We start from the raw sequence: 27,457 nt of genomic DNA, 5'->3' as shown, positions 1-27,457 counted from the left end.
AGAAATCTATCTGAAGAAAGGCAGTATGTGTCATTAGATTCTGTAAAGAGAAGCCGTGCCTAATAGATCTGGAATTTTCTGAAGGGGTGACTAAGCAAGTGAATGAGGGAGAGACAGTACATGTAATAATAATCACAGCTGCATGCAAAGCATTTTTGCATTACAAAACACTTTATTAATAATTACTTCTCTCACTGGACTGCTGTGAACATTACATGGAATGATATATTATTGCCTCATTTCACAGATGAAGAAAGAGGCTCAGTGAGGTCATAAGACTTTTCCCAAATACATATTAAGGAAATGATAGAACTCATATCCAAAGCAAGATCCCTCCAACTCCTGAGTTCTTAACCATTTTATTGCCATTCAGAGGCTTAGCACATGTTTATTGTGTTGAATAGATGCTTGCCATTATTGTGGAGGAACTTATTGAAAAGAAGAAATAACAGCCATTTCTCTGATGACCCCAGATTTCTTTCCTGCCTCTGTGTTGCCTTTCAAATCCCCAAGAAGGCATGTTTATATGCATCACCTAATTGGATCCTTACAAAAGTCTAAAAATAAAGGTAAAGTTAACCACATTTTATAAAACAGGCTACTGGAGCATTAAGAAAGGGGTTGGCAAATTTTTCTGTGAAGTGCTAGACAGTAAGTACTTAATATTTTAGGGTTTGCAGCCTCTGTTCCAACTACTCAACTTTCTGGTTAGAAAACAGCCATAGACTATAAAACAAATGAGTATGATTGTGTCTGTAACTAATGGCAGGTTCTATAACTATAGTTACAGACCTTGACATTCGAATTTCACATAATTTTATGTATCATGAAACAGTCTTCATTTTTATTTCTTTAAACCATTTTAAAATGTGGAAGCCACCCTAAACTTGCTGCTGTGTAAACATAGATGGCATTGGGCCAGATTTGACCTTGCGGCCACAGTTTGCCTTTAAGCAGCCTACACTAGAGTGTATGCCTAATAGCTGTTATACTATTTGCAAAAAGTTGAGTGTTTACATCATCGGGGGTTAGAGGATTGCTCCATATCCAAACTTTATTTCGGGCAGAAAAATAGAATGTGATTTTATTCAGCTAGAGTATCACAGGGTTAATTACACATGCTTTCATCTGGAAAAGCAGCCCCTCGTGTTGAGGTTTATGCCAAGAGTCTATGGCCCAGGTTCAGAGATGGCATGCTTCCTCATCACAGTTTGTTCCTGAGATGCTGGATTCTTCTCATAGTTCCCTGGATCTGAAGTTCTTTAGGAATGGAAGGGGCTTCTCAGCTCAGGGTCTAAGCTAGAAACACAGTCAGCAAAGGCTACTCATGCAGGGGGAAGTAAAGCCGGTTTGGAATGATTGGATCAGTGGAACTGCCAGTGCTTACCTTTCTACTACGCCTCAGGCACAGGGTAGTTGGCAAGGTATCTAGTTGACAACCTCTTGCTTCTTTCTAAGGAGCAGCCAGCTGGTGTGTGAGCACTTATTGTCCTCATGCTGCCCTGGTCCAGCCATTTCCCTGGCTCTGTTTTCTCACTATCTGATATGTAAATGCAAGAGTGACAGCTGTCCCATTGCTGAAGATGTATTATTAACACGGGATGTAGCATATAACTGCAACATACCATGTGGAGAAAGAGCTAAAGGCCATGTTTTACAGCTGGTGACTTAAAGGCGGGCAGGGGGTAGTGCACAAAGGGAAGAATGCCAACTCTTTAGTATCCACTGAAGCAGTCCCTCATGTTGAGGTTCATGATTTAGGGTAGAGGATAATACTGTGCATGAAGATGCTAATTAACTGTTACCAGAACACTCAATCCAAAAACAAATGTTGACTTTAGGGTCTTAGCATCTAATTATCTTGCTTGCAGTGCAAGAGACACAGTGTCTTTGCATATACAACAAGCCACGCTTTTGTGCACAGGCAAATGTGTTGGATGTGACAATGCAAGGACTACAAACACTTGTGGAGTGTGTTCTCTATCGGTCCCCAAACCAGCAAGGACATACATGATTTCCCAGCTGGACTTGTAGGTAGTAAGTATCCACCCAAATAGGGGAAACCCCTCCATATATATAGAACATGTATATATATAAAATATATATAGTTTGTGATCTGCATAATATATTATATATTTACATAAGATGTGTGTAGTGTAACTGAAACAATGGATCCCTTTGCTTAACTCACAGCATGCTTTGAAATATATATATGTATATATAATATAAACTATGTATTATCTTGGTGTATATGATATAATACATACACATAAACATAAACATTTTTTCCCAAGTTTGCTGTGAGCTAAGCAGGTGTCTCCATTTTCTCTACTTATAGTCAAGTATGGTAAAAACAAAACTCAGCCATTTTGGAAATTATGTACAAGACTGTGTCTACTCAGCAGTTCTGCTAACTTAGATTCTGGAGTTTGGGGACCTCCTTAAGGGTATTTCATTTGGACCTGAGATCCAGCATTCCTGGGCTTCCCAATGGATCACATATCCAAGCCAAATGTAGTGAACACAGGAAGACTGTGATTCAGGTAAATATTAGCTATTATTATCATCATTATTATATGCTGGATATTGCTTTAGGTGCAATTTTATGCATGATCTCATTTACTTCTTGCAATATGCCTATCAAGTAAGTACTACTATTATTCCCATTTTACAGATAAGAAAACTTAGGCACAGAGAGGGTAAGTGACTTGCCTATTGTTGCATAGCTTGTTAGTGGTACAGCCAGGGTTCATACCCAGACAATTTGACTGTCAATACCAAGATCTTAACTCTAACACTATGCTTCCTCCTCATAAGACAGAATTGAAGCCCATAACGTCCTAAATGTGGTGGAGAAATATAATAAATTTGAAGAAAGATGTAAATTTTATCTTTGAACAACCAGCCAATTAATTTCTTCTTTGTCTAAACAGTCTTCCTCTCAGTCCAAAAAATCTAGTTCTCACAAAAATGGATGAAATTAAAATTACCTATCCTTTGTTCATCCTTTCATTAAATAAGTATTTATTATATATGCTAGGGCAGTAAGTAGAGATTTCAGTGGAGTTAACGGCTATGAAATTCTTCCACATACAGTGGTTATCAGGTCAAAGGCACCATTGGGAAGTTGGTATCAAGCCAAATGACATTGAGGAGTCATAAATAAAGTTGCTCCTGAAACCATAGGATGAGATGAGATTGCCACATGCAAATGTCTAGAGCTACATTAGCCAATAAGATAGGCACCTGCCACAGGCAGCTAGTTAAATTTAAACATTAAAATTAAATGAAATTAAAATTTCAGTTCTTCAGTCACACTAGATACACTTAATTATCAATGGTCACATATAGAAAGTGGCCACTATACTGGACTGCAGAGGTATAGAACCTTTCTATTATCACAGAAAGTGCTATTGCATAGCACTTACCTAGAGAAAAAAGGCAAGAAGAGAAAGAAAAAAGAGGTGTTGACAGACCTCTGTCACCACCTGCAATTAGGAGTCAGAAAGTGGAAAACGACGCAGTAAAGGAGACAAAGGAGGGGATGGATTTCGTGGAAAGATAACCAGGATAATGCAGAGTCAGGAAAGTCAAGGTATGGGAATATCAAAGAATAAAGTGTGGTTCTCAATGTCCAGTGCTGGCAAGCAGTCTTTTGAAGTTAAAGGTCAAAAATATCCTCTGGAGGTGGACATATGGGGCAAACATGATGGACACTGATGATGGGGCAGCTTTGTTAAACCGGCACTGTGCTGGACAGTGGAGGTCCCTAGTCACAGTCGCTGCTTTCAAGTCCAATGGGGCAGACATCATGAGGAAGTGCAGTATTGATTTGCTTTTTGAGCAACTGACTTGCCACTGGCTTACTACTGGCTTTAACCCTGTGGATGGCAGCATGGCTCCTTACCTATCTGCTGCCTCAGTGGTCCTTTCAAAGCCTTTGACCTTAAACATTCCCAAAGCAGTTCCAGGAGTGGTGAAGCACTCAGAGCTCCGGGAGAGCAGTACTACTCAGTTCAAGGGTGTTGACTGAGTATAGTAATGAGAGTAAAAAATTGTGTCTGTGACCTTTGTGAAATTCATCAGTAATCATTAACAAGATCTGAATGGCAAGCAAGAGAAAGAGCAGGCAGCATTGTAGAGAATATTAAATCTCAAGAACCATAAAAAAGTATCGTCAAAGGCCTTTTAAGTTGACTTGAATTAAACCCCTGAAGTTCTTTCAGGCACATTTAACATGGTGATTCTGCTGAGATCAGGGCCGGAGAGGAACATAAATCTACATGATATGACAGTATCTACATCCAGTATCTACATCCATGTAAATCTACATCCAGTATGACAGTATTGGATTTTGATCCAGTACCTGATGTAATGCAATTTGTGACCAGACACATGTTCTTAGAAGCTGGGAGAAAGTTTAGCTTTCATTTTGACCTGTCCTTACTTGATTGTTCCAGGTTTGTTTTTTTGTTTGTTTTCACTTGTAGCTTTCTAGGCACCTCTTATGGTGAGATGTTAGAGAACCTAGGTTAACAGTTTAGATATGGATTCTAATCTGGCTCTGTGTTGACCCAGTGACCTGTCAATAAAGTCCTCATGGTACATTATGGTACAAGAGGAAAGAAAGCTGGAGGACTTGACAGTAAGCTCACATTGAAGTGGAATCCTGGCTATGCCTCTTACTAGCCACATGACCTTGGACAAAGTAGTTAAACTTGCTGAGCTTCACAGGGTTTTGTGGATAAGGAGGAGTGGTATGGACAAAGGCAAGCCTGCTAGCCCTCAGTCTTCTAACTTGCAACTAATTGTCTGTAAATGTTTTCCTTTGTTTTGGCCAGATTCCCCACAACACCCTCCCCTGCCCACCTTGGTGGGTTCCAGAATCTCTCTTCTCTAACTTTGTAAAGTGGGGCTAACACCGAGGCAGGCTTGTGTCAGCTTTGTGGTCCTTTTTCCCTAGGAATGAACACTGGAACTCAAACGAAGGGGAAGAGGGTTAATGGAAAGAAACTGCTTTTTAAGCACTTGCAAAGGGATTTTATTCCTTGCTTTCTCTTTGGTCCAAGTATGCACACACAGGTACATGCACACATAGACATTCAAACCACACAGTGGTGCCTTTCCACTTATTCTGTTTAGGATGACTGCAAAGAATTGTTGAAAGATGGTAAATATGTGTTAGGTGCACGACAATATAAATAACATCGATCTGGGTTAACGGTGCATTGTTTAGGAACTCTGGCACAAACATCTTTGAGCTTAATAATGGTTGCTAAAGGTGACAGGAGTTCAGAAAGCAGAGGACTCCTTTCATTGTAACAATCATCTCCCCACTTACCCCCACTACATCCTCATACACCCCAACAAGGCATGCATAGCATCCAGCAGAGTTCCAGGCATATAGCAAGGGTTTATTAAAGGCTGTTTTCATTCATAAAATCACTGGTGCTAATCGTTAGGTATAGAGAAGAGGTGAAATATAGGATCTTGACCTTCACTATTAACAGTAACAATTGCCATTTACAGAAGGCCTATGATGTGTCAGCTGCTTTACTGCTCTAGCCTCACAACAAGCCTACACAGCTCCAAGTTACAGATGAGGAGCTAAAGTTAAGAGAGGTGATGTAATTGTCGAAAGTCACATGACTTCTAAGTGGCAGAGTGGATTTAGGTCTCTTGGATTCCACAGCCCATACCCCTTCCACTTTTCCAATGCTGCACTTGAGAAGTAGGCCAGTTGGGACAATGCAGTGGCCAGACTTCAGCTACAGAGTAAGGCAGGCGGGACTGCACTGAGAAGGTTAAAGATTACTGCATCTCCCCTGGAAACCAGGGCCTGAGAACAGCAAGCTGATCTTTTGTAGCTGCTCCACATATTTTCTTTCTCCTCAGCCAGCATTAGAACTTCATTCTTCCCTTGTTTGCTTGTTCAGAGAAACAGGTGATGAGAAAAGCACACTTGAGGTGTCTGGAGAGCAATGCCCTGCTTTGCTTACTATAAATAGCTCCCTCTCAGCCAGTTGCCATAAATGGCATTTTACAGGGGAGGCAACCAGTTTGAAATAAGCCCTAAGGAGATGTCGGGGCATCAATATTCGCTTGGTGTATGCAGTGTTCCCAATCTATTGCAGAAGGTTAGGAGTGTTGAGTTCTTGAAGCAAAAGTGGTTTTGTCAGATACGTGATGCCATCCCAAGCCCTTGGTCAGGGAATCTGCAATTACCCAGAAATCTGCTTTTTTAATTTATGAACCAAAAGCCAGCAATGACTCAGACCAACCTGCAATGGAAACCAAATGTGGACTATGTGCAGTAAATATTTTTACGCTCTCAGCTTCCACTCATTACTTTTTGCTACCCTGTTGGCCTTAAGGAGTTGTCGTTCAAGGAAAGGACCTGCCTGCTGTTCCGGCAAACCTGGAATGTGAGCACTTTTGTATTAAAATGTGTGCAGACCATCCTAAAATGATTAAAAGGAGGAGCATGAATTTATTCACATGAGTCGCTTTCATTATTTTCCATTAGTAAATAGCCAAATAATTGATTGTGGAGCTGTTATTTAATTAGCATAAATGAAATGACTGTTATATGGAATAGAATGTATATATTGATTTTGGCTGTGTCCTTTAACAAGGATAAATTTTCTTACTTCTGACAGTTTTTGTAATCAAAACTCTTTTTTTGCTGAAAAGCAAAAAGAGCTGGGGGACCAGAAAGCTTCAGGGTAGGCTGCAGGAGCCAAGCAGTTTAAGGAGGGGACACATGGTATGCCAAGGGCCTTGCATTTCCTGTGTGAGAGGAGCCAGATTGGACTCATCTCAACCACTAGCTAGTGGTCACTGAGAAGAGAGGGTCGAAGATCCAGAGCAGAGATGAGTGGAGAGCTGCAATGCCAAGCATGAGGACCTAGGAACTTGCTGTGTTTTTCTTGTCAGTTTCAGTGGTCCGGTTGCTGAGGTCTTGGCTGTTGATTGCTCTAGCTGGGATGTGTCTGGAAAAGACCATGCATAGAAATGTACGGTCCTTGCTTTGAGAAGGTAACATTCTGGGACTAAAACCTGGGTGCAAGGGAAGTGCACTGAGCATCAGGAGACATGCTGTGTGAACACATGACAGGTCCTTTTCTCTTCCCCAGAGTACATTCCCCCGGTATGTACATTGAGGGAGGAGGAGAGGACTAGGTTCCCTGAGCTCAGATGGGAGGAAGAAGTGTAGTAGTAGGGACATTTAGGGATCACTCTGGCTTCCCCTGCATTTGTTTCTCCCCTTCCAACTTGACTTTGAGGAGCAGACACAGCTTCCTTATTCCCGCCTAGTAAAAGTTAACTTGCCACAGATTTAGAGCTGAATTTCAGTACTGCATGTGCTAGTTCAGCACAGTGACTAACAGTACAGTCCCTGAAGTACAATTGACCTGAGTTCAATTCCTACCCTTACTACTTTTTTGATGTGCAGCTCTGGGCAACTCAATTATCCTTGATTTTCGTTTTGTCAGACATGGATGTAATAATACTACCAATTCACAGGGTTGCTAAAGGAACTGAAGTAGATCATCCATGTAAAGCAGCTGTCACAGAATCTGGTGTATAGTAGGTTCTCAGTAAACTTTCCTCATTTTCTATTCCTTTCTGCCTTCCTGATGGTCCCACATCTCCTTGCCTGTCCCTCATTGTAGCACTCAGTATATTGTCTTCCTTATTCGTCTAAACAATTCAAGGTCAGAGATCCTGTGTTGGGCATTTTTTGGTGTCTTCCTTCCTGTGCTCCGTTGCCATGTCTCATATACTGCCAGCTCACTATTGGTTCACACACATTTCTAGGCACAGAAAAAAAAATTCACAGAGAAAAAAAATTCACAGAGCAGCTAGCTCTTCCTTCAGGCCTTTGACTGACATTTTAAGGATGGCAGAAAACACAGCAAAATAGTTGTTTTTAGAGTTTCTTGGAAATTCACAGAGGTTCCATGCTGGATTTGAATTCACCTCTAAATGTCTATTCAGCACCAAGTTCAGAAAATTGCAAGCCACTTGGGAGAATATGCCAAGTGGCATGCAGAAAATTGCATGCCACTTGGAATTCAGCGACATACACTATAGGTGATGCTCAAAGGGTGGGGAGGTGGGAAAGGGGTGAGGTTGGCAGGGAAAACCCTGAGGCAGTAGTGATCAATGCACATGATATGTAATGTGACCAAGAGTCAAACCAGGATGCTAGGTATGTTCCTCAGGCAGCATGGGATTAGGTACCAAGCCAGTAAATGGCATACTAGGTGCACAGACAGGGTTGTTTCTCATCGCACCCATCCCCTGCCTCTGTGTACCTTTTGCTCAACTCCTTCGATGTGGCTCCAGTATAGGTCCCTTGTCACTATGCACCATTACACTTCAGGAAAAGAAGCCTTACTGCAGCTTGTGGTGCCCAAGGAAGGCTTCACAGATAACAGAGGTATAATTCAGCTTGGAAGTAGGTAAAGGACTGGAATTAGATCAAGAGAAAGAAGGAGGGTGTTCCAGATGGAGTATATAGTGGACATCACCTGGAGCCAGAAATATGGATGGCATGTTGGGGAAGGAGGATTAGGAGGAGGGACAGAACTGTGAGTTCAACAGGATGACTGGAGTGGGAAATTTACACCCCAGACTGACAATGTAATGTACAATTGTCCCCCAGGCAGCCTGGTATTCCTGAAGGCTGCGGTCTGACAAAGGGCTGGGGTAGGGGAATTGCAATTAGCTAAGAGCAAATGGTTATTTCTAAAAGCATTTCTAGGGCTCCCCATTTCAGTTAGAAACATATGGCACTGGCAAGGGTCCTTGCTTTATTTGGGCCCGTTGCTTAGCCTTCCCTGGCCACAAATTGCTATGGAAAAAAGCAGAAAGGCAGCTGTCCTGCCTGAAGGAGCAATCATTAGCTAATGCTGCCATCTCCAGGAGCCTGCCTGCTAATAGCCAGCACACAGCAGTCCTGCTTCAAACTGGCTGCCCAGGCAGACTCCTCCCACCCCCACCGCAGTTCCCAGTGACTAGTTTGGCTTCTCCAGCCTGAAATTTGACTGGACAGCTGGAGAGAGGGAGAAACTGCCCAGGGCTTCTGGAATCCTTGACTGCCAGCTGCCTTCTCTTTTCTCTGGTTTGACAGGAATTGTAGCAAAGGTTTTCATCTGGAGGATGAGAAACTCCTTTTGTTAGTTTGCTAGAGCTGCCATAACAAAATACGGGGTGACTTAAACAACACTAACTTATTTTCTCACAGTTCTGGAGGCTAGAAGTCCAAGTTCAAGGTTTGGTTTCTTCTGAGGCCTCTCTCCTTGGCTTACAGATGGACACCTTTTCCTTGTGTTCTCAGACAGACGTTTCTTTGTGCATGCATCCCTGGTGTCTCTTTGTATGTCCTAATATCTTCTTCTTATAAGGACACCAATCAGATTGAAGTAGAGCCCATCCTAACAGCCTCATTTTAACTTAATCACCTCTATAAAGACCTTATCTCCAAATATAGTCACATTGTGAGGTATTGGGGGTATTTCAACCTATGAATTTTGTGAGGACACAATTCAATCCATAACACACTGCATACAGTTATCAGAGAGCCCTGATTCTTTTCCTCTCTGAACCTTTGTCTCCCCATCATTACAATAATGGGTTAGAGCAAGAAGCTTGGAGTTCTTGTCAAACAACAAGTTTTGCAGAAAAGAAATGCAAGTTTGTGATGACTTGCTAATGAATGGTGTTTCACAGTTCAGGGTGATTTCTTATTCTGAGAATAAACTAATGTAATTTCATTATAGAGTTTGAACTTGCTATATATTTTCATGTATTTGTTATTTAATAACCATGTTTATTGCCTTATGCAGGCCACATACTAGGCTAAATGTGAGAAAGAAAAAGCTGAATGCATTAGATCATATTTTTGAATTAGTTCTTATTATAAGTTTAGACATGTATTCCACAAGAAATTGTTGGACCTTGAAGTGTAAAAATCAAAACCAATATTGAGTTTATAACCATTCCTCTAACTATTAACAATTGGTTTGTAAGTATAGACTTTGATTAACTTAATTCCCTATAGAGAATTCTCTGGTTGGTTTATTGATTGATTGATTCCTGAATTCCAATAGTATTTTTAATATCCACAATGTGCAAGGCATGGAGTTAGGTGCTAGGGATATGGTGGTGAGTGAAACCAGGAAGATTACTGCCCTCATAAAACTTACTGTCTAGATTGAATCTGAGGCTACTTGTTTATTTCATGAAATGTGATGAGTGTATAGTAAAAGATATGTTGGAGGCTTCTAAGATCACCCCCAGGTTTGATGATTCACTCTGGAACTTGTTGGGCTCAGCACATAGTCATGCTCCTGGCTAAGATTTATTACAGCAATAGGACACACAGCAAAATTAACAAAGGGGAAAGGTGCATGGAGAGAAGTCTGGAGGAAACTACACACAGACTTCCAAGAGTCCGCTCCCAGTGCAATCACACAGGACGTGCTTATTTTCCCCAGCAACAAGTATGACAGCACACATGAAATATTGTCTACCAGAGAAGCTCATTAGAGAATCAGTGCCTACGGTTTTTGCTGGGGACTGATCACATAGGCATCTTCTGCCTGGGATGTACCAAAATTCTAGATGCCCAGAAGGGAAACAGGTAGGGGTTTGGCATAAACCACATTGTTTGTGCAAAACTATTTAAACATAGTGAGGCACTTTTACCATTTAGCAAGTTTTGTATCAGTGTAAAGAACTTTTGCCAGCCAAGTTCCCAGACACCAGCCAAGGGCCAAATGTTGAAGCAGTCCTTTCTAAGGACAGAAGTCTCAGGTCCTGAGACTGGTGAAGTAATGTGAGTGGGGCTAGTATTCTGGAAATTAAGATTCCCAATGGCAGCAGCAAAAGATGCAAAAGCCTAGTGGGAGAGAGAGCCTGACTTACTCATGAAGCTGAAAGTAGTTTGGTATGCCCAAGAGAAGGTGAGGGAGTCAAGGTAATCAAATGGACACTCTTTGTGATACTCATATCCATTTATTTTTTCAAAAAATGTGCATTGGGTGTTATATAAGGAACTGAGGACATAACAGGGAATCAAACAAATATTCATGTCCTTATGGAGCCTCCATTTTAGTGCACTTTATATGCATACACTGAATTATGTCACATCCATTTTACTGGAAATTCTCCAGTCTCGAGCAAAACATCAACATTTACATATATTTCGCACACTCCTTGATAAGAAGAAACACAAGAAGATGCCTTCTACTCAAAATTCCAGTTAAGACTGTGTATTAGTAACCTGTGTGTATTAAATGCTGATAAAGTTGATTCTACTTGGAAACTATTTGTTACCACTATGATCAGAGGCCTTGGCATTTTGTCAGTTGTGAGTCCCATGATCAGAAACCCATTTATGTGCTGGTAGTGTGATTTTTTTGTTGTTGTTGATAACCATAATGAAGAACAACCTGTTAGCTATTTAGAGAGCAGTAAGACACAACCAGTTCAGTAAAGAGATCAATCAGCTTTATTCAAACAAAAGAGCATCATTAGAAGCCTAGCATCAGATCAATTTTGATTAAGTCAACAAGAATGCTGCCATTTAGTAGACTAGAACTATTCTTGTTAACTGTCAAGTGTAGTCAGCCAGGACACATCTCAATCCTGTCTCCATATTATACCACTGAGAGTTCCTCTTGGCTTAACTTGAGGCATTTCATAAAAGAAACATCTACTTTCACAGAGTTCAGTCTTACACTCAGAAATTTACCAGATTTGGCCACAAAACTGAAGAGGTTGGGAAGGTTACAGCATTTATACACTCATCTCATGAATCTTATAGATTGACATTGTTTATTTTCAACTGAATTAGTCTCTTTCAGAACTCCAGTACACTGATAAGGTAGAAAGTTGATTAATCAGATCTATCCTGATGTCTGTACGCTAAAAATCCAAAGTGTAGCTCATAGCCATGAAAATGGGAAACCACTTTTGGAACTGTTACTTTGTTTCTACCAGTACAATAAATTTCTATATATTTGCTACGTTTTTATCTGACAAAGCTGAGTAACTGACAGTGCTTCCCTGTCTGCTGTAGGTAGCTAAGAATCAGCAAGGAGAAAAACACAGCACTCCAGATAAGTAAAGCTTTTCCTAGCATTTAGCTCTTGGAAATGACAAAAATTTCGAGACATGCTGACGTACAACTTGAATCACTGCTTGAATTCCTTAGTGCCTAGAACAACAGAACAGAGGCCAGAAATCAGCATGCTCTCAATAAATATCTGGTGAATTAATTATTGAAAGAATGGATTAATTAAATATATAAACACAAAATAGTAATTAGGGAGTGTGCAAAAATTGAAACTATTCTGTAATATGGTTAGTTATCTGGGTTTCTATTTCAAATTTTAAGATTCATTTCATGTTTCAACTATAAAAAATTCATCATCAATAAAAATGAGTTATGGAAGGTGCAGATTCAAACATAGATACCTTTGATTTTTTTCTGACAATGAGGAATGGCCTCAGAGATAAATGTCTGGAAAATAAATTGTTCACAAAAATATATTTTAGATTAAACCCATGGTCTGTGCTTTGGTCCAAACAATGTGAAGGATTTGTGTACTTCAAGGCAGTATAAAATTGAGAGACTCAGGAGCATAGGCTCAGAGGACAGACAGTCCTATGTCTGAATGTGTGAACTCCAGGAGGTCAGGGGTAATGAGGTCTTGTTTCCCACTATCACTAGACTAGCCATCTATAAACTTTCTGATCACACACCTCTGCCTGAGTGTGCATATTTATGTATGTCTAAATTATACATACGTATATATCTACTAATATATTTCATATTTTTATTTGTTGTATTATAGAGTATACGCAAACATACACAGTTTAAAAGTTGAGAAAAACACATATTCCAATATGCTCTTTCCATATCTAATTTTTTTTTCTTTTTTGAGATGGAGTCTTGCTCTGTTGCACAGGCTGGAGTGCAGTGGCACAATCTTGGCTCACTGCAACCTCTGCCCCCGGTTTCAAGCGATTCTCCTGCCTCAGCCTCTCAAGTAGCTGAGATTACAGGCATGCACCACCATGCTCAGCTAATTTTTGTATTTTTAGTAGAGACGAGATTTCCCCATGTTGGTCAGTCTGGTGTCCAACTCCTGACCTCAGGTGATCTGCCCGCCTCCGCCTCCCAAAGTGTTGGGATTACAGGTGTGAGTCACCGCGCCTGGCCGTCCATATATAATTGTCTTGCCCATTCCTGAGGCTCATGCATCCCGCTTTGGAGAACACTTGTCTAGCATGTAGTCCATCATAGGTGCTCAATTAATAACATTTGTTGAATTATTGAATGAGTTTAAATCCAGGTTTTTCTACTTACTGTGTGAACCTGAGTAGGTTCTGCTATCCATATTCTAGGCCTTTGTTTTGTCATCCATAAAATGGTATAAATAATAATAGCTGTGTTGGGGGGTTGTTGTGAGGCATAAATTAAATAATATAGCAAATGTTAATAATAATTGCTGTGATATTGATGATGATGATAACAATGGAAAAACATGTTTAATTCTCCACTTCTTAGATGAAATGATTTAGGTCTTGCCCTCATCACGTCATTACTTTTGACCATGGATACACCTCATATATTCCAGTTGATACGATGCATTCCATACACAGGATTTTGAAGTAGGATCTGTTCCTGCAGGACATCTGTTCCAGCCTGTGAACATAATTTTCTGGTAATGGGCATAGAGAAAAGCAAAAAAGGAGGAGGTATTTACCCTCTTTAAGCATATCTCCAAAAGTAGTGCCTTTCAATGATATAAGTTGTGAAAGAAAGATGCTAGTGGAAATGATATAAAAGCAAGACCAAGACACACTTAGAAGAGTTGAAGGGTGACATCTTATGTAGTAACTCCCCTATCTAATCAACTATGAGACATAGAGTTACCCTCCACCTGCCTCCCCACCCTCATCAGAACCTGCCTATGCCTCTGAGCATGGATCACTTTGAAGTAAGGCAGGAATGAAGCCAGGAAAAGTTCTGCAGGGACTCACATTTCTCATTTCTCTTCTGACTCCTTAGAGCCCAGATTCTGCTAGTCTGGCGTATAGTGCATGATTATACTGTGAGTTGGCAATGGGGCAATAGAGGGTGCAGGGAAAGAAGGAAGGAAAAATAACTTCCTCACCTCCTTTTCTTTCCTCACCCCACTGTCTCCACCACTTTCACCAAGGTTGTCCTACCAAGGTTGTCATCTTCTAATGACAAAAGCCAGTGGATATATACAATCCTGAACTAACTCGACTTCTCAAGAGTGTTTTATTTGAACTCTCAGGAGGCCCTTCTTCCTTCCTGAAACTCTCTCCTTCCTTGGTTTGTGTGATATCACTATTTTCTACTTTGTCTTTTACCTTTTGTCTGGTCTTCCCTAGTCTCCTTCACTGCCTCCTCTTCCTCTATCATAAATGTTAGTGTTTCTCATGGTTTCATCCTCAGCCTTCTTCTAATCTTGCTCTATGCATTCTTCCTAGAGCAGCTCATCCATCTCCACACCCCCGCCATGACTGTAAACACCATCTCTTTGCTCATCACTACAGAATCTTTATCTCTAGACCAGGTCCCTTTCCCATATTCCAGGCTTACTACTTTTAGATTATCTTCACTGCCTTACCCCTACAGGCATACCTAACACTGAATGTATGTGTATATGTGTGCGCATTCACATGTATGCAGCAAAACAATTAGTTGGCAGAGAGTCAAAAAAAAAATGGTATGTAGGATGAGCTGTCACTTTTTGAGTGATGTTGTGCACATTTAGTTTCCTCACCTATAAAAATGTTAAAAAAATCCATTTCGGTGATGGGTTCACTAGAAGCCCACCCCCCCATTTACAAATGTATTACCCATGTAACAAACAAGCACATGTACCCCCTGAATCTAAATTTTTAAAGATGTTAACTAAAGCTGTCTTTTGGAAAGAAATAAAATTAAAATGTCCCTCCATTAATTTGAATTATTTAAAACTCTGACAGTTTAGCATTGTAATATAGCTGGAAATAATTATTGCTCTAATAGCCAACAACTGTTTTCACCTAACCATAGTTATTTAAATCACCCATATAATTATAAACCTTTATTTATTTAAAAAAATGGGGAAATGCGCTCCAGGTTTCTAACACCGCAACCATCCTGTTGCCCAATCAGAAGCCCTAGAATACTCTTTGGAACCTACCTCCTCTTCCCCTCCCCATTGCAGTCCATAACCAACGTCTGTAGATTGTATATCCACAGTGGCCCTGTGTTCTGTTGCCTTTTCTCTAGTCACAGTGTCATTGCCTTAATTGAGGCTATCAACATTGCTCTTGCACAATTGACATGCTCTCCGTAGTTCTCTCTGCCTCTAGTCTTGTGGCTACAACCACCATACTAGTCTTCATGCTGCAGCCACTGAAATCTTTCTAAAATGCCAATCTGACCAAGTCTCTCCCTTGCTTAAAGGCCTAGCATGGTTCCCCATGGCATAAAGGATTGTGTCAAATCCTATCCCGTGATCCAGGGGGTCACACATAATCTGACTCCTAACACCTTCCATCGTTTTATCCCTCATCCTATCTCTGGAAATCTGTGCTCCAGCCATTCCAAACTGCCTGCATTTCTAAACTGTGCTAGACTGTCCCAAGCCTGCATGTCTTTGTACTTGTGAAATCTGCCTGCATTTCTAAACTGTGCTAGACTGTCCCAAGCCTGTATGTCTTTGTACTTGTGAACTCTGCCTGCAATTTTCTCAGCCCAGCACATTTTCACCCTCCCAACAATTGATTTGACTAATGGCCACTGGCCTTCAAAACTCAGCTGCAAACACTTGCTCTGAGACAGGCTTTCCTGATCATCCCTGAGGCTAGATTTGGTAGGTAGGCATGGGTACCCGCCCCCCTGTGATTTTACAATGCCTGTGCCACATTTCTGTCATTACACTTATCACCTTTTAAGATAATTATGTGTACGTGTGTGTGTGTGTGTGTGTGTGTGTGTGTGTGTGTGTGTGTGTGTGTATTTTGGTCTCTCCCCCCTGGGACTAAAAGCTCATTTAGGCCAGAGGCTTTGTATGATTTCTCTAGAGCAGCTACTCTCTTCACCTAGTTGCCTCCTGCTCTTCCTTCGTTTCTCAGCTTAATATCATCTTCTCTGGGATGCTTTCCCTGACTTCAACCTCCCAACCCCCAACCAATGGAAGGTTCTGTGAGATATCCCTCCTCTGTAGCATAGAACTTCTCCTTTGCATTGAAAGTGCCTGTTTATTGTCTGTCTCTTCCAGTAAACACTGAACTCCTTGAAGAAAGGGACTAGGTTTTGTTCACAATTATGTTTCCCACTGCAACCTCCTATAGCCAAGCACAGAGAGCAGTACAGATTAGACACTTGTTAAACATTTGCTGCTTCACTTTTCTTTTGGAGATTGTGATTTTGCCTCTTATTTCTTTCATTAAAATTGCTTTCCCATTTTTTTAAAAAATATTTTTATTGTGGTAAGGAAGCATAGCATGATATCTACTCTTAAATTTTTAAGTATACAATACAATATTGTTAACTATGAGCGCAATGTTGTACAGTGGATTTCCGTTTTTAAAACACTCCTGGTTACTTTTTGGTTACTTTTCCAAGCATTATATAGTTTTGTAAGTTTGGACTGCTACCTTGTCCTCTAGGTGGCGTTGTTTGAAAAAGAAATGGCAAAGTTGTATATGCTTTCAAATAAATGAGTACTGTATTTGTCTGCTAGTACTGACATAACAAAATACCACAGATTGAGTGGCTTAAACAACACAAATGGATTTTTCTCTCAGTTCTGGAGGCTAGAAGTCCAAAATCAAGGTACTGTTAGGTTGGTTTCTGGAGAAGCCTCTCTTTCTGGCTTATAGATGGCCACCTCTTGCTATACTCATATATAGCCTTTCCTCTCCATGGAAAGAGATTGAGCTCTAGTGTTTCTTCAGCTTATAGGGACACCAGATCTATCAGATTAGAGCCCTGCCTTATGGGCCCTAATGTAACCTTAATTATCTCCCTTAAGGTCCTGTCTTCAAATACAGTCACATTGGGGGTTAGAGCTTTAGTATATGCATTTGGGGGATGCAATTCAGTTCATAACAGGTATGCATCCCAAGATTATCAAAATTTTGTGCAATTATATGAAACAATATATTTAAATCACCTTGGAGCAAAGGAGCAGAATTAGTTGTAACCAATGATCAAATGTTCTGAGTGTCATTTACCTTATATCTCAAAGGAGGGGGATTATGCTGCTGGAGCAGTGCAGGGACTAGTGGAAGTCCCAGAGAACCTTTGGGCTTGAGAAACGGTATTTGAATTCTCTCCCATTCCATCCCTTCAGGTTACTATTCCTGAAGCCTAGAATCTCGTTGGCAGGCAGAGAAGCTCCATTCTCTCCAGGTCAAGCGGACGTCTTCAAGGACTTTAATTTTACCATTTCCAAGGTACCAGGCCTCCAAAAGCTCCCTCAAAGAACCCTTGCCTAGAAGAGAACCAAAAATACTAGAAGCAGTGGAGATGGCCTCATCCTTGGAAACTTTATGACCTCATCCCGCTCTGGCCATCTGATAGATGGGTTGAGAATACAGTGCCAACTGAGATTAAGACCTTTGAGAGGCCATGAAGAAGGGCCTTTCTGAGTGATTCTGTCAGTCCTGGCTAAAGAGGCCTGTGCCCAGGAGACATCAGCCTGGCGTGCCCTTGAAGTGTTTTTCACTCAATGCTATTATTAAGGGACCTTAGTAGCTACTGTGGGAAATAAAGGATTCTGAAGGCAAATTAGTATGTTTATTCCGGAGTTTCTCACATAAAATAGATTTATTTACCGTAGGCTTTAGTTGAACCTTTAGCAAGCCAAATACATAATACTAATTACCAATAGTTTGGTGTGCTGTGCAGTCTTTCACAAACTCACTGATCACAGGACCTTTTCAGTCAGAGAATCTTGATCAGATTATTATTCTCCAAGACTCTCTTTTAGGAAGGGTAACAATGAAGAAAATCATGAAAAAAGCGATTGCTGTGAGATGCACTTTGACTCAAATAATTCCTCCAGGCCTACCCTGCTCTCTCCCTCCCTGAGCCACCTACACATTGGCCCCCAGTAATGCCAAATTCGTTTGGCCTCCTATCTTGGCTGGGCTGCCTTCTCCTGTTAGCATGCCTTTTTCTTGACTGACTTAGAATTTCCATAGGATTCTGTTGTCAGCCTTGTTTCCAGGTTCCATTCTTTCTGATGAGAATTGGTGGGCACACAGATCAGGCCCTTGGGAGTGTCAGAACCTGGTTTGTTCCTAACTCTATCAGGGAGCTTAGAGTCTGCCCTGGTTACGAGGGAAACAGATGAAATCACTTGATACCTTTCAAATAGAGGCTTTGCTTACAGCCCAGGGTAGAGTGCCCTAGGGAGATACTAAGGGACTTGCATACTAGCCATCTTACAAAAGGCTAATTTGCCTGGCCACACTGGCCAAGGAAGAATAATAAGAAGGAAACCACCCCACTGCTTACTGTATGCTGGGCACTGTGATAAGTGCTTTGCATACATTATTCGAGTTCTTACAACCAACCTATGAGATAGACAGAATTTTTGGATCCACTTTACAGAGCAGGAAACTGAGTTTCAAAAATCTGAGGAGACAAGCCCAATGAAGCATAGCTTAGCATAAGCAGAAGAGCACAGGACTCCAGTCTATGCCCTTGTGGCTCTAGGGTCCCTGCTTTTCACTACTTTTCTCTGTTGCTTCCGGGTGAATCTAGGGAGGTGGTGAGGTCCATCTGCATTGTGTTGGTCAAATCAAAGAGTACCTTAGATAGCTATTTGAAATAGTCTCTTTCTGCCCCCTCCTGCAAGAGCCAATTACTTTTAGGAAATAGCTCTGTGGTCAATAGAACTATTTTTTTTTTTATAGACAATGATCTAGGTTCTGGTAGGGAACCTACAACTCCAGTCTTCATCCTCACAACGAGGTGCTAACTTAGATCCTCATCACTGTCACCTGTGTCTCTTAAGAGAGCTCCCTATATCCTATCTTCCTCTTTCCCCCTCATATTCTCCACTCTGCAGCCCAGGTCACCTTTCTGAATGTCATTTGATTCCTTTCTGGTGTAAAACCTAGTCACCATTGAGATAAATCCAAACTCCTTAAACTGGCTTCCTAAATTATTCCCTGCCTATTTCTTCAGTGTGTACCTCCCAAACCCTCTCCTCTGTGCCAAATCTCACCCCTTAGTCTGTGGACATGCCAAACAACTTCCAGTTTCAGCTGTGTCCTGTTTAGTTTCAGGTAATTTCACACTTCTAAATATTCTCCCTCACCAACCTCATCTGCCTTGGGAACAGCTGTTCAATTTTCAATGCTCAGTTCAACTATCACCTGCTGTGTGAAGTTTTTCTGGTTCCCTCTCACCTTCTCTGAGTCTTGCCAGGCCTGGTACAGCCTCAGAGCCTTATATTCTTTAAGATGGCACTGATTGCCTTCTGCAGGTATCTCTCATCTCCAGACAAGCTCCTTCCCCAGCAGGGACTTGGGATTATTTATTCTCGTGTCTCAAACACCCAGAACAGGCCTAATCCATAATGGGAACCCAGGAAATGTTTGCTGAATAAAAGAATGGAAAGGAAGTTTTCCTGAAATAGAGTAAGAATTTGACATTAATTTTGAAATTGGCCAAGAGAATCTTCAAGATAAATGAAATGAATAAGGATTGTAATTTGATTTGTTTTGTCCCTATTGTCGCGAGATGCTAACCTGGAAAAATCTAAATATTTAATTTATCTTTCCATGAAACTCCTGAGAGGAAAAAGAAATTGTTGAAGCCGGGGTTGGTGCCTTGTTGTTGGGAGGATTAGCATGCAACTGAAATACGTTATTTCTCCACAAGGGGGTGCTATGAACACATACGAGGCCATTCTCTTATTCTTCCTCAGAGAGAGAGAGGAACTGCACAAACCAAGTAACTTTTTTATTTTCCCTGCATTGTATACAATTGTGCAAGAATGGAATAACTCTCCACCGTTGCCAGAAAATTATGTATGCCTCGGACAAGGCTTCCTACTAATAAGATTCACACTCACACACATACCCCTAACTCCTTTAAAAGGTTCAGGCATCAAGTTTAAAGATGTATGATTTGTGGTATATCTGGAATTTGTTCATTGACAGATTTAGATGTTATGTAGTATGATGTCAGAAACACAACTGAACAGAATAAAAGCATGCACTATGCTGCTTTTAACTCTCGTATAGGATAGACCATTTTAGAGGAAGACTCATCCAGGTGTCAGAGATATCAGTCAGCTCTTGTCAGTAATAACACGTAGATATAGTAGTACCAGCTGTGTACACTTGTTTAGATTTGTTTCTTATGAAACCATGATGGGCAGCACACATAACACAGTCAATATTTGGGAAAGTTGTACTTTGTGTAACCAGTGGCTTAAGCAAATCAAATCTTGTCTTCAACATCTCATCTCCAGTTTCTACCTTCAGCATATTTTGATGGCCTTGGATTCTGAGTAATATTTTTGAACTGTACTCATGTATGTCTTCCCATTTAGACTCGTTCCTTTAACCCCTGGGCTCTGTGTGTATGTGTGTGTTTTCCATATTTATAACTCCTGCACATGACAAAGGTCCTGATACATTGTAAGGACTCAGTTAATGTTTGTGGATTGCTTCCTTATTGATCTGTTTTCACAAAAATGCTGCCAAAAAATGTCAAGCAGGATAATGATGAGGTTACAAGAGAGACAAGTGAATGGGCAAGAAGAGACTAAGGGTAAAGTAAGAGGACTAACTTCCATTGACTGCTTACGAAATGCCACGCACTGTGCTGAGGACTTTATATAAATATCTCATTTAATTCTTATAAAAGCCCAATAAAGAAATAATTATCACCCCAGTCCCACCACCTGTTTTTGCATGATTGTGGCCATGATATCAAAATAATCAAATAGATGGTATTTGGAGGTATATAATAGTCTTTACCTATGCCTTCCATACATCAGGGCCTCAATGGTGCTTGACTAGGATTTGCACTGTGGGTTAGTATAGTTCATGGGTTGTTATTTGAAGCTGACTCTTGTGTTCATGCAGGAGGGCAGGAATCTTCCTGGCTGTTCTGTCTGCCCCTGTTACCCTCAGTGAAAATGAAAGGAAGCACAGTACATAGTGGTTGACAGGAATGAAGGTTTCCAACCTTCTAACTGTGGTTGGAGAGCTTCCTGTGTGGCATTTCCCCTCCTTCCTGGAACTCTTTAGTATTGTAGGAAATGAGTGACTTGGGCAATTGCGATAGACTTCAAGCAATTGGATTCACTGAAGAACATTTTATGGAGGAGGAGGAGGAGGAACACAAAATCTTGAAAGCTCTGGGTTGAGAGAAACCATCAAGGGTATCCACGTTAACCACTAAGCAAGCTTTTGAATCCCCTGATAGTATTCCAAATTGCCATCTCTGTGACCTTGAACAAAAAACTTCACCTCTCTTAGTGAGTTTCCACATAGGCAAAAACAAAAACAAAAATGAAAAAAACTAAACAAAACCTTCTAGGGTTGTCGTGAAGATCAGAGAGAACGTACTCCTGGAATATATTAGGTACCCAGTACAAGTTTTAAAAATAGACTTTATTTTTAGAGCAGTTTTAGGTTCATAGCATAACTGATCATAAGGTACAGAGTTGACATATACCCTGTGATTCCCTGGATGGCCTCCCCACTAGAAATATCCACCCACTGGAGTGGTACATTTGTTACAATTGATGAACCTATATTGACATGCCCTTATCACCGAAAGTCCATAGATTACATAAGGGCTTGCTCTTGGTGCTGTACATTGTCTGGGTTTGGACAAATGTATAAAAGGCCATTATAGTATCATACAGAGGAGTTTCACTGCTGAAAAAATCCTCTGTGCTCCTCTAATTCATCCCTCCTTCCCCACCAACCCCTGGCAACCACTGATCCTTTTACTGCCTCCATAGTTTTGCCTTTTCCAGAATGTCATACAGTTGGAGTCACATGGAGTAACCTTTTCAGATTGGCTTCTTTCACTTAGTAATATGCACTTAAAGTTCTATGTATTTTCATGGCTTGATAGCTCATCTCTTTTAGCCCTCTTTTATGCCATTGTCTCGATGTACCACAGTTTACTTATTCATTCACCTACTGAAGGACATCTTGGTTGCTTCTAAGTTTTGGCAACTATGAATAAAGCTGCTATAAACATTAGCGTGCAGGTTTTTGTGTGGATATTAGATTTCAACTCATGGGTACTCAGTATTTTTTAAATGAAAAATATATCTGTCCTTACTCCCATAAATTCCTCCTTTCCATCAATTCTTCCCAAGGTGAGGGATCAGTGCATACAAGAGGCCCAATTTGCAGCAAAATGCTCATTAATTAGCCAAGAGGCTGCGGTGGCACAGCAAGTAAACAACGTACTACAAATCTGTTTACAGCGGCTTCTGCAGACATTTTAAAACAATTAAACTGTCAAGGGGGCCTGGAGACAAGAGCTTTGCATTTTAATAGGAAATGATTAAATCTCAGGCATTATTGCCTTCGATGTGTCTAGGCTTTAAGAAGAGGGCAGAGTATTGATTGAGGCCTCCAGGAAGGCAGGAAGCTTACTTGTGCTGCTTGACCGCAATGCAGTGAAAGCTTGGAGATCTGTAACTCCTTGGGCTGGAATTAAAGGCCAGTAGCCAAAAATTTAACTGGATTTGTCACCTTCTGTTTAGTTGGACTCTGCCTGTAGGAACAGATGATAGATCATGACCTCCGGGGTATTATTCGTCAATTGGCAGAGAGAGAGAGAGAGAGAGAGAGAGCCCCTTGCTGATGGCATCTATTAGAAAAGGCTGAATGACACAGCGCCATGTGGTGACCTCAGTATTTACACTATCTGGATTAAAACCATTGTAAAGCAAGTGAAAGCCACCCATGTAGTCACTGCCTGAGTCAACTAATGCAAACTGCACTCTAACCTGTGAATATGTGTGTGCCACAGTTATGACGGACACGCAGTCTCAAACATCTAGTGTATTCACCTTCTCTATTGATTTCATCTATTCACAGGTGCTGGTCAGATCACATGTGGTTCTTGCCCTCTAGCTACTCACAGTCCAGTAAATGAGGGAACATGTAAGCAGCTGGGTACAATCCAATACAGTGATAGATGTTGTTGGCTACAGTGAGGGGACCAAGGAGGTCACATTCAAATTGAGAGATGTGGAGGGGCTGGCAGAAAATTCTTTCTAGAGAAGGTTCTACTTGAAAGATTAGTAGGCAGACAAGGGGACAAGGACACTTCAAACTGAGGGAAGTTCTTGAACAAACCTGTGGAGGTGTGAAAAAGCCTAGTACATTCCAAGAACCCAGTCTGGTAGTGTGGAACCTGAGTCCTCTGGTACTTTTTAAAGGATGGGGTGACCTTAGTCCTCAGGTTTAAAAACTTAATCAATAAATGATGACGTTATTGAAATATATCACCACATAATGCTAAATAGAACAGGTGAGCACTACCATTCTCTGTGCCTTTCTATTGCTTAAAATCCTTCCATTTGTCATACTTCTTAAAAGTATGCCAATTGGAGAACAAGACACTTGCTTCCAAAATGAGAATACCTTTGTGAAAATTGACAAATTTGTGTGAATTAGCTTAATCAGATTGCTTTCTTCCACAACACCTGACCAAGACCAGCCACTCTGATGACGAGGAGAATAGGGGGATGTGGAATGCAAAAGAAGGTAGGAGCATGGGGTACTGAGGGTGGAGAGGGCTCCTCTTGCAGTGGAATTACAGGCAGCTAGGGAGCAGCACAAAGGCCCTGCATGGCTGAGAATTAGTTTAGGGGAAAGGAAAGAGAGGATAGCAGAAATAAATTTTACCTGACTTGCAATTTGGCTCCATGTCGGCTCTCATTTTGTTTATTTCTGTGCTGTCTAGACATCAACAGATTGAGCTGCTCCCATCCCTGGGGACCCCCTTCCCCACTACACTGACCAGTGCAGCCCCCTGCAGGGCCATTATAAGAAGCTATGGCACAGCTGAAAGACTGAGTCTCTTGATTAGACCTGATAAGACCACTCATATTAAGATGACTTAATTTTGTCCCTTGAGAAATGCCTTTTTAAGAGCTCCCACATTGGCCAAGAGAGACTGCCTCCATATTAAGCTTTTCTATTTTTGTTTGAAGGAAGTTGGCACCTCTCCTGTGTAAAGAGTTTGCTGAAGCCTAAATTCTTCCATTAGCCATTTTGGTTTGCAAACAGGGATCTGAATATATGCAGCTTTTTACCTGGTGGCCTGAGCACTTGCTCAGCTTCCCAACCAGAGAACAATGGGGAATACCCCATGGCCACATTCTGAATCTGATCATCTGTGCTTCTAAGCATGATTGACTAGTTAAAATAATGGTTTTCTGGGAAACAGGACTGGCTACAGAATTTGCAGGGGTTAGTGCAAAACGAAAATGTAGAGATCCTTGTTCAAAAAATTGTTAGTTTCAAAATGGTGACAGCAAATCATTAAACCCAGTGCAGGGCCCTTCTCAGAGCATGGCCCTTTGCCGCTGCATAGGTCATGTGTCCAGGAGGTAGCCCTACCAAAGAACAGCTATTTTGCCTTTTTGGGTTCTAAAGGCTCCTGTTGTTCAGGTCCCTGGGCTGTGGATGGCTATTGGGGTATAGGGGACGGTGTTTGATTTCAGGGCAGAACAAATTTTCTCCATCCTCTGCCTACTGCTGAAATCCCATCCTCAGAGCTAAAGCAATTTTGTTGAGGCTGGATCCCTTTGGGAGGGGCTAACATTTGCAGCTGTTGTCTGTTACACGCTTAGTGTTGGATGGAAAAGTGGAGGGAGAGAGCACAAGGCAATTTTGATTATGCAGAGAAGCTTATGAAAAAATATGTAAGTTTATGGAATGCTTTTGGATATACATTATCTTCCTTTCCATATAGCACTGAATATGGGTACTGGGGCTTAATAAATATAGCTCCTCGTGGGTGTTGGTAATTCTTCAATATTCATTGATAGTGACAATATTCAGAACTTGAGACAGATTTCCTTTCTCTCTGACTCGAGGGCAGTTTTCCCAGAGCCACACAGAAGGAGAATCCAGTCTGTTCAAAAGGAAAGACTCATTTGATCCCAGAATAACTTACATTTCCATTTCTATTTGAATTTTTAACAAAAATAGTGGGTCTTCCATAAAGCAAAAATAAAAAGCATGGCAATTTTGTTTCAGGGTTTGCTTTTTCTTAAAATTTTGATTCCTATATTAACACTATTGAGTGCTTCAGTAACGAGTATGGTGTAATGCTAAAATAGTCTGTTTCTTGCTCTTTGTTATAATTAGCTAAAAGCCTTTTCATAGGCTGCTCATAGATTTTCTGAATTTTTAACAAGGGACTTTGATATGAAAATATAATTTTGTGGCACAGAACTAAAAGTTCTGGTAGAATTTCAACATTTTACGTGTAATTGTTACAGAGGATTGAGCAACTATAATTCTTACAAATGTCTATTTTGCTTGTAGCGTTTTCTATTCATCAATAATTCAATTTCAAAATAAAAGACACATTTCAACATCCCAAACACTATCGGGGAGACTTTCAGATTCCTGACTGTGGGAGAAGTCTACCAAATAAGGCAGCCAGCTCCAAAAACTTCTCTAATGTGCTGAGGGATCCTGTTACAGACCGTTTTTCATAATTCTAGAAGGCAAAATAAAATTTTATGCTTGGAAATAATAAGTTTAAGCAAATAGTATAGGCAAAGCTTATGTCTGAGTCCAAGCAATGGTCTGATTACTGCCAGAACAATACTGCTACATGATGAATCATTAATGATCTGGGAGAGCCATAATGGTCTGTCACTAATGCCCATTAATGATCTCTCTATACTGAGAGTATGGGCTTGATGTTTCTGGCCATTACCTTGGAGAATACTTTAGATATGCCTTAAACTTTCTCTGATCTCCTCTCTCTCTGTGTCTGCTCCAAATGTAGACAGCAATTGTCTGGGTAGGACCAGCTTATAAAGAAGCATGGCTTTGTTAAGGAAGTCGTATTCAGGTAAGATTTATTTCTGCAATGTTTTTGATGGACATAGATTTGAATGTTTATCCTGGACATTAATGCCTTTGTAGAAATTAACAAAATTATACCAGGGATCTTTCTGCTGAGATATTTTTCGTTCTGGATGGGACAGGGGTTCTTGATTCCCTTTACTCCGGGATGTTTGACGTTAAGAATGGATTCTTTTGGAAAAATGCATCATTTTTTTTTTTCTGGGAGGAATTTAAAATATTAATTGTTATAGGAAACTGAATGTGTATTTCTGACCATTTAAAACTCTATTTACATTTAGAAAATGGTGGCACTAACTGATTCAAGAGAGATTTCCTACTTCTAGATTTGCATTTATTCTATGCATACAGCACAAAACATTAATTTTAATTTCTAAAGAAAAAAGAGAATAAGTAATTATAATTGGCTTTTAATGTATTTTTCTTTTAGCTTAGTGAAAGAAAGGAAAGAAAGAGAAGATGACACTTAGCTAAGGGAAGGTGGACACAATCACACTTTAATTTTGACAAACTTATTAGGTGTATCTTCAGGGAAATCACAGAAGATAGGCACTCTATAATGTCTCAGCGAAACTAGGAGAGTATCTGTTCCTCCATGGCGGCAAGGCAGATGCCGCAGATAGCTGATGGAACCAACGCCCAAGAGCTTCCAGCTCACGGAGAAAAACAAGCTGAGAGAAGGTTGCCGGAGCGACCAGTTTCAAGTCTCTTTGAAAAGAGCAGGACAGGGATTCTTTTGGAGGAGTGAAATCACTCCTCCAGCTACATTTTTAATGGGAAGTTTTTACATGTAACTAATAAAAAAATGGTTTTGCCAATCTTCATATTAGCTGAATAAAGCAACCTCATGAAGCAAACACTTTCATTGAAACCCTTTGCACTTGCTTTATTGTTGAACCTGAAAGAATCCCAGAGAACTCTTAACCTTGCTAAATGTTTTATTTTGCTAGAACATTTTGTCCAGATGAGTAATTATTCATGGTGATTTTCTGTTTCCTCAAAATCCTTCTCTCTGTCCTGAAACTGCTGAGTAGCATGTGTTTATTCATGTAATTAACTGGGATTAATAGGCTTTCTCTTCTGAGTACTTCACAGGATATCCTCAGCTATTTGGAGTTCTCCTAGAGCATCCCCAAATGGAGATTTGGATTGATCTGTCATGTTGCATGAGCATTGTTTATCTGATTGTTTTTAATTGGTTTCCCCATAAAATTGAGAGAGAAAAAAAGCTTATTTGAAAGATTAGTACATCAAGGGCAATATTAGTGATGAAAATCGTTACAGAATTTGTGAGATTAGTTCA

General features: G+C 40.6%; 1 protein-coding gene across 5 annotated transcripts in view, besides 1 other annotated feature; it reads left to right on the top strand.

The window, feature by feature from the left end:
• Positions 1-27,457, top strand: part of FGF13 (fibroblast growth factor 13) — a 590,297-nt gene that overhangs the window by 439,642 nt on the left and 123,198 nt on the right. The window contains exon 1 of one of the 5 annotated variants that reach the window (NM_033642.3): positions 26,029-26,140. The exons of the other annotated variants lie outside the window; for them this stretch is intronic. Coding sequence (NP_378668.1) covers positions 26,113-26,140 — 28 coding nt within the window. The 5' untranslated portion in view covers positions 26,029-26,112. Of the gene's footprint in view, positions 1-26,028; positions 26,141-27,457 lie in introns of those variants that run through there. 5 annotated transcript variants of the gene reach the window in all.
• Positions 4,525-5,054: an enhancer, noted in NCBI's record as "NANOG hESC enhancer chrX:137842490-137843019 (GRCh37/hg19 assembly coordinates)". NCBI's record gives its function as "activates a minimal SCP1, AML or CMV promoter by ChIP-STARR-seq in naive H9 embryonic stem cells {active_cell/tissue: H9 hESC(naive)}" and the evidence as "EXISTENCE:reporter gene assay evidence [ECO:0000049][PMID:30033119]".

The sequence above is a fragment of the Homo sapiens genome, chromosome X (genome assembly GCF_000001405.40).
Source record: "Homo sapiens chromosome X, GRCh38.p14 Primary Assembly".
NCBI lineage: Eukaryota > Metazoa > Chordata > Mammalia > Primates > Hominidae > Homo > Homo sapiens.
The sequence above is the reverse complement of the archived record's forward strand: the minus strand, read 5'-3'. Positions and strand labels throughout refer to the sequence as shown.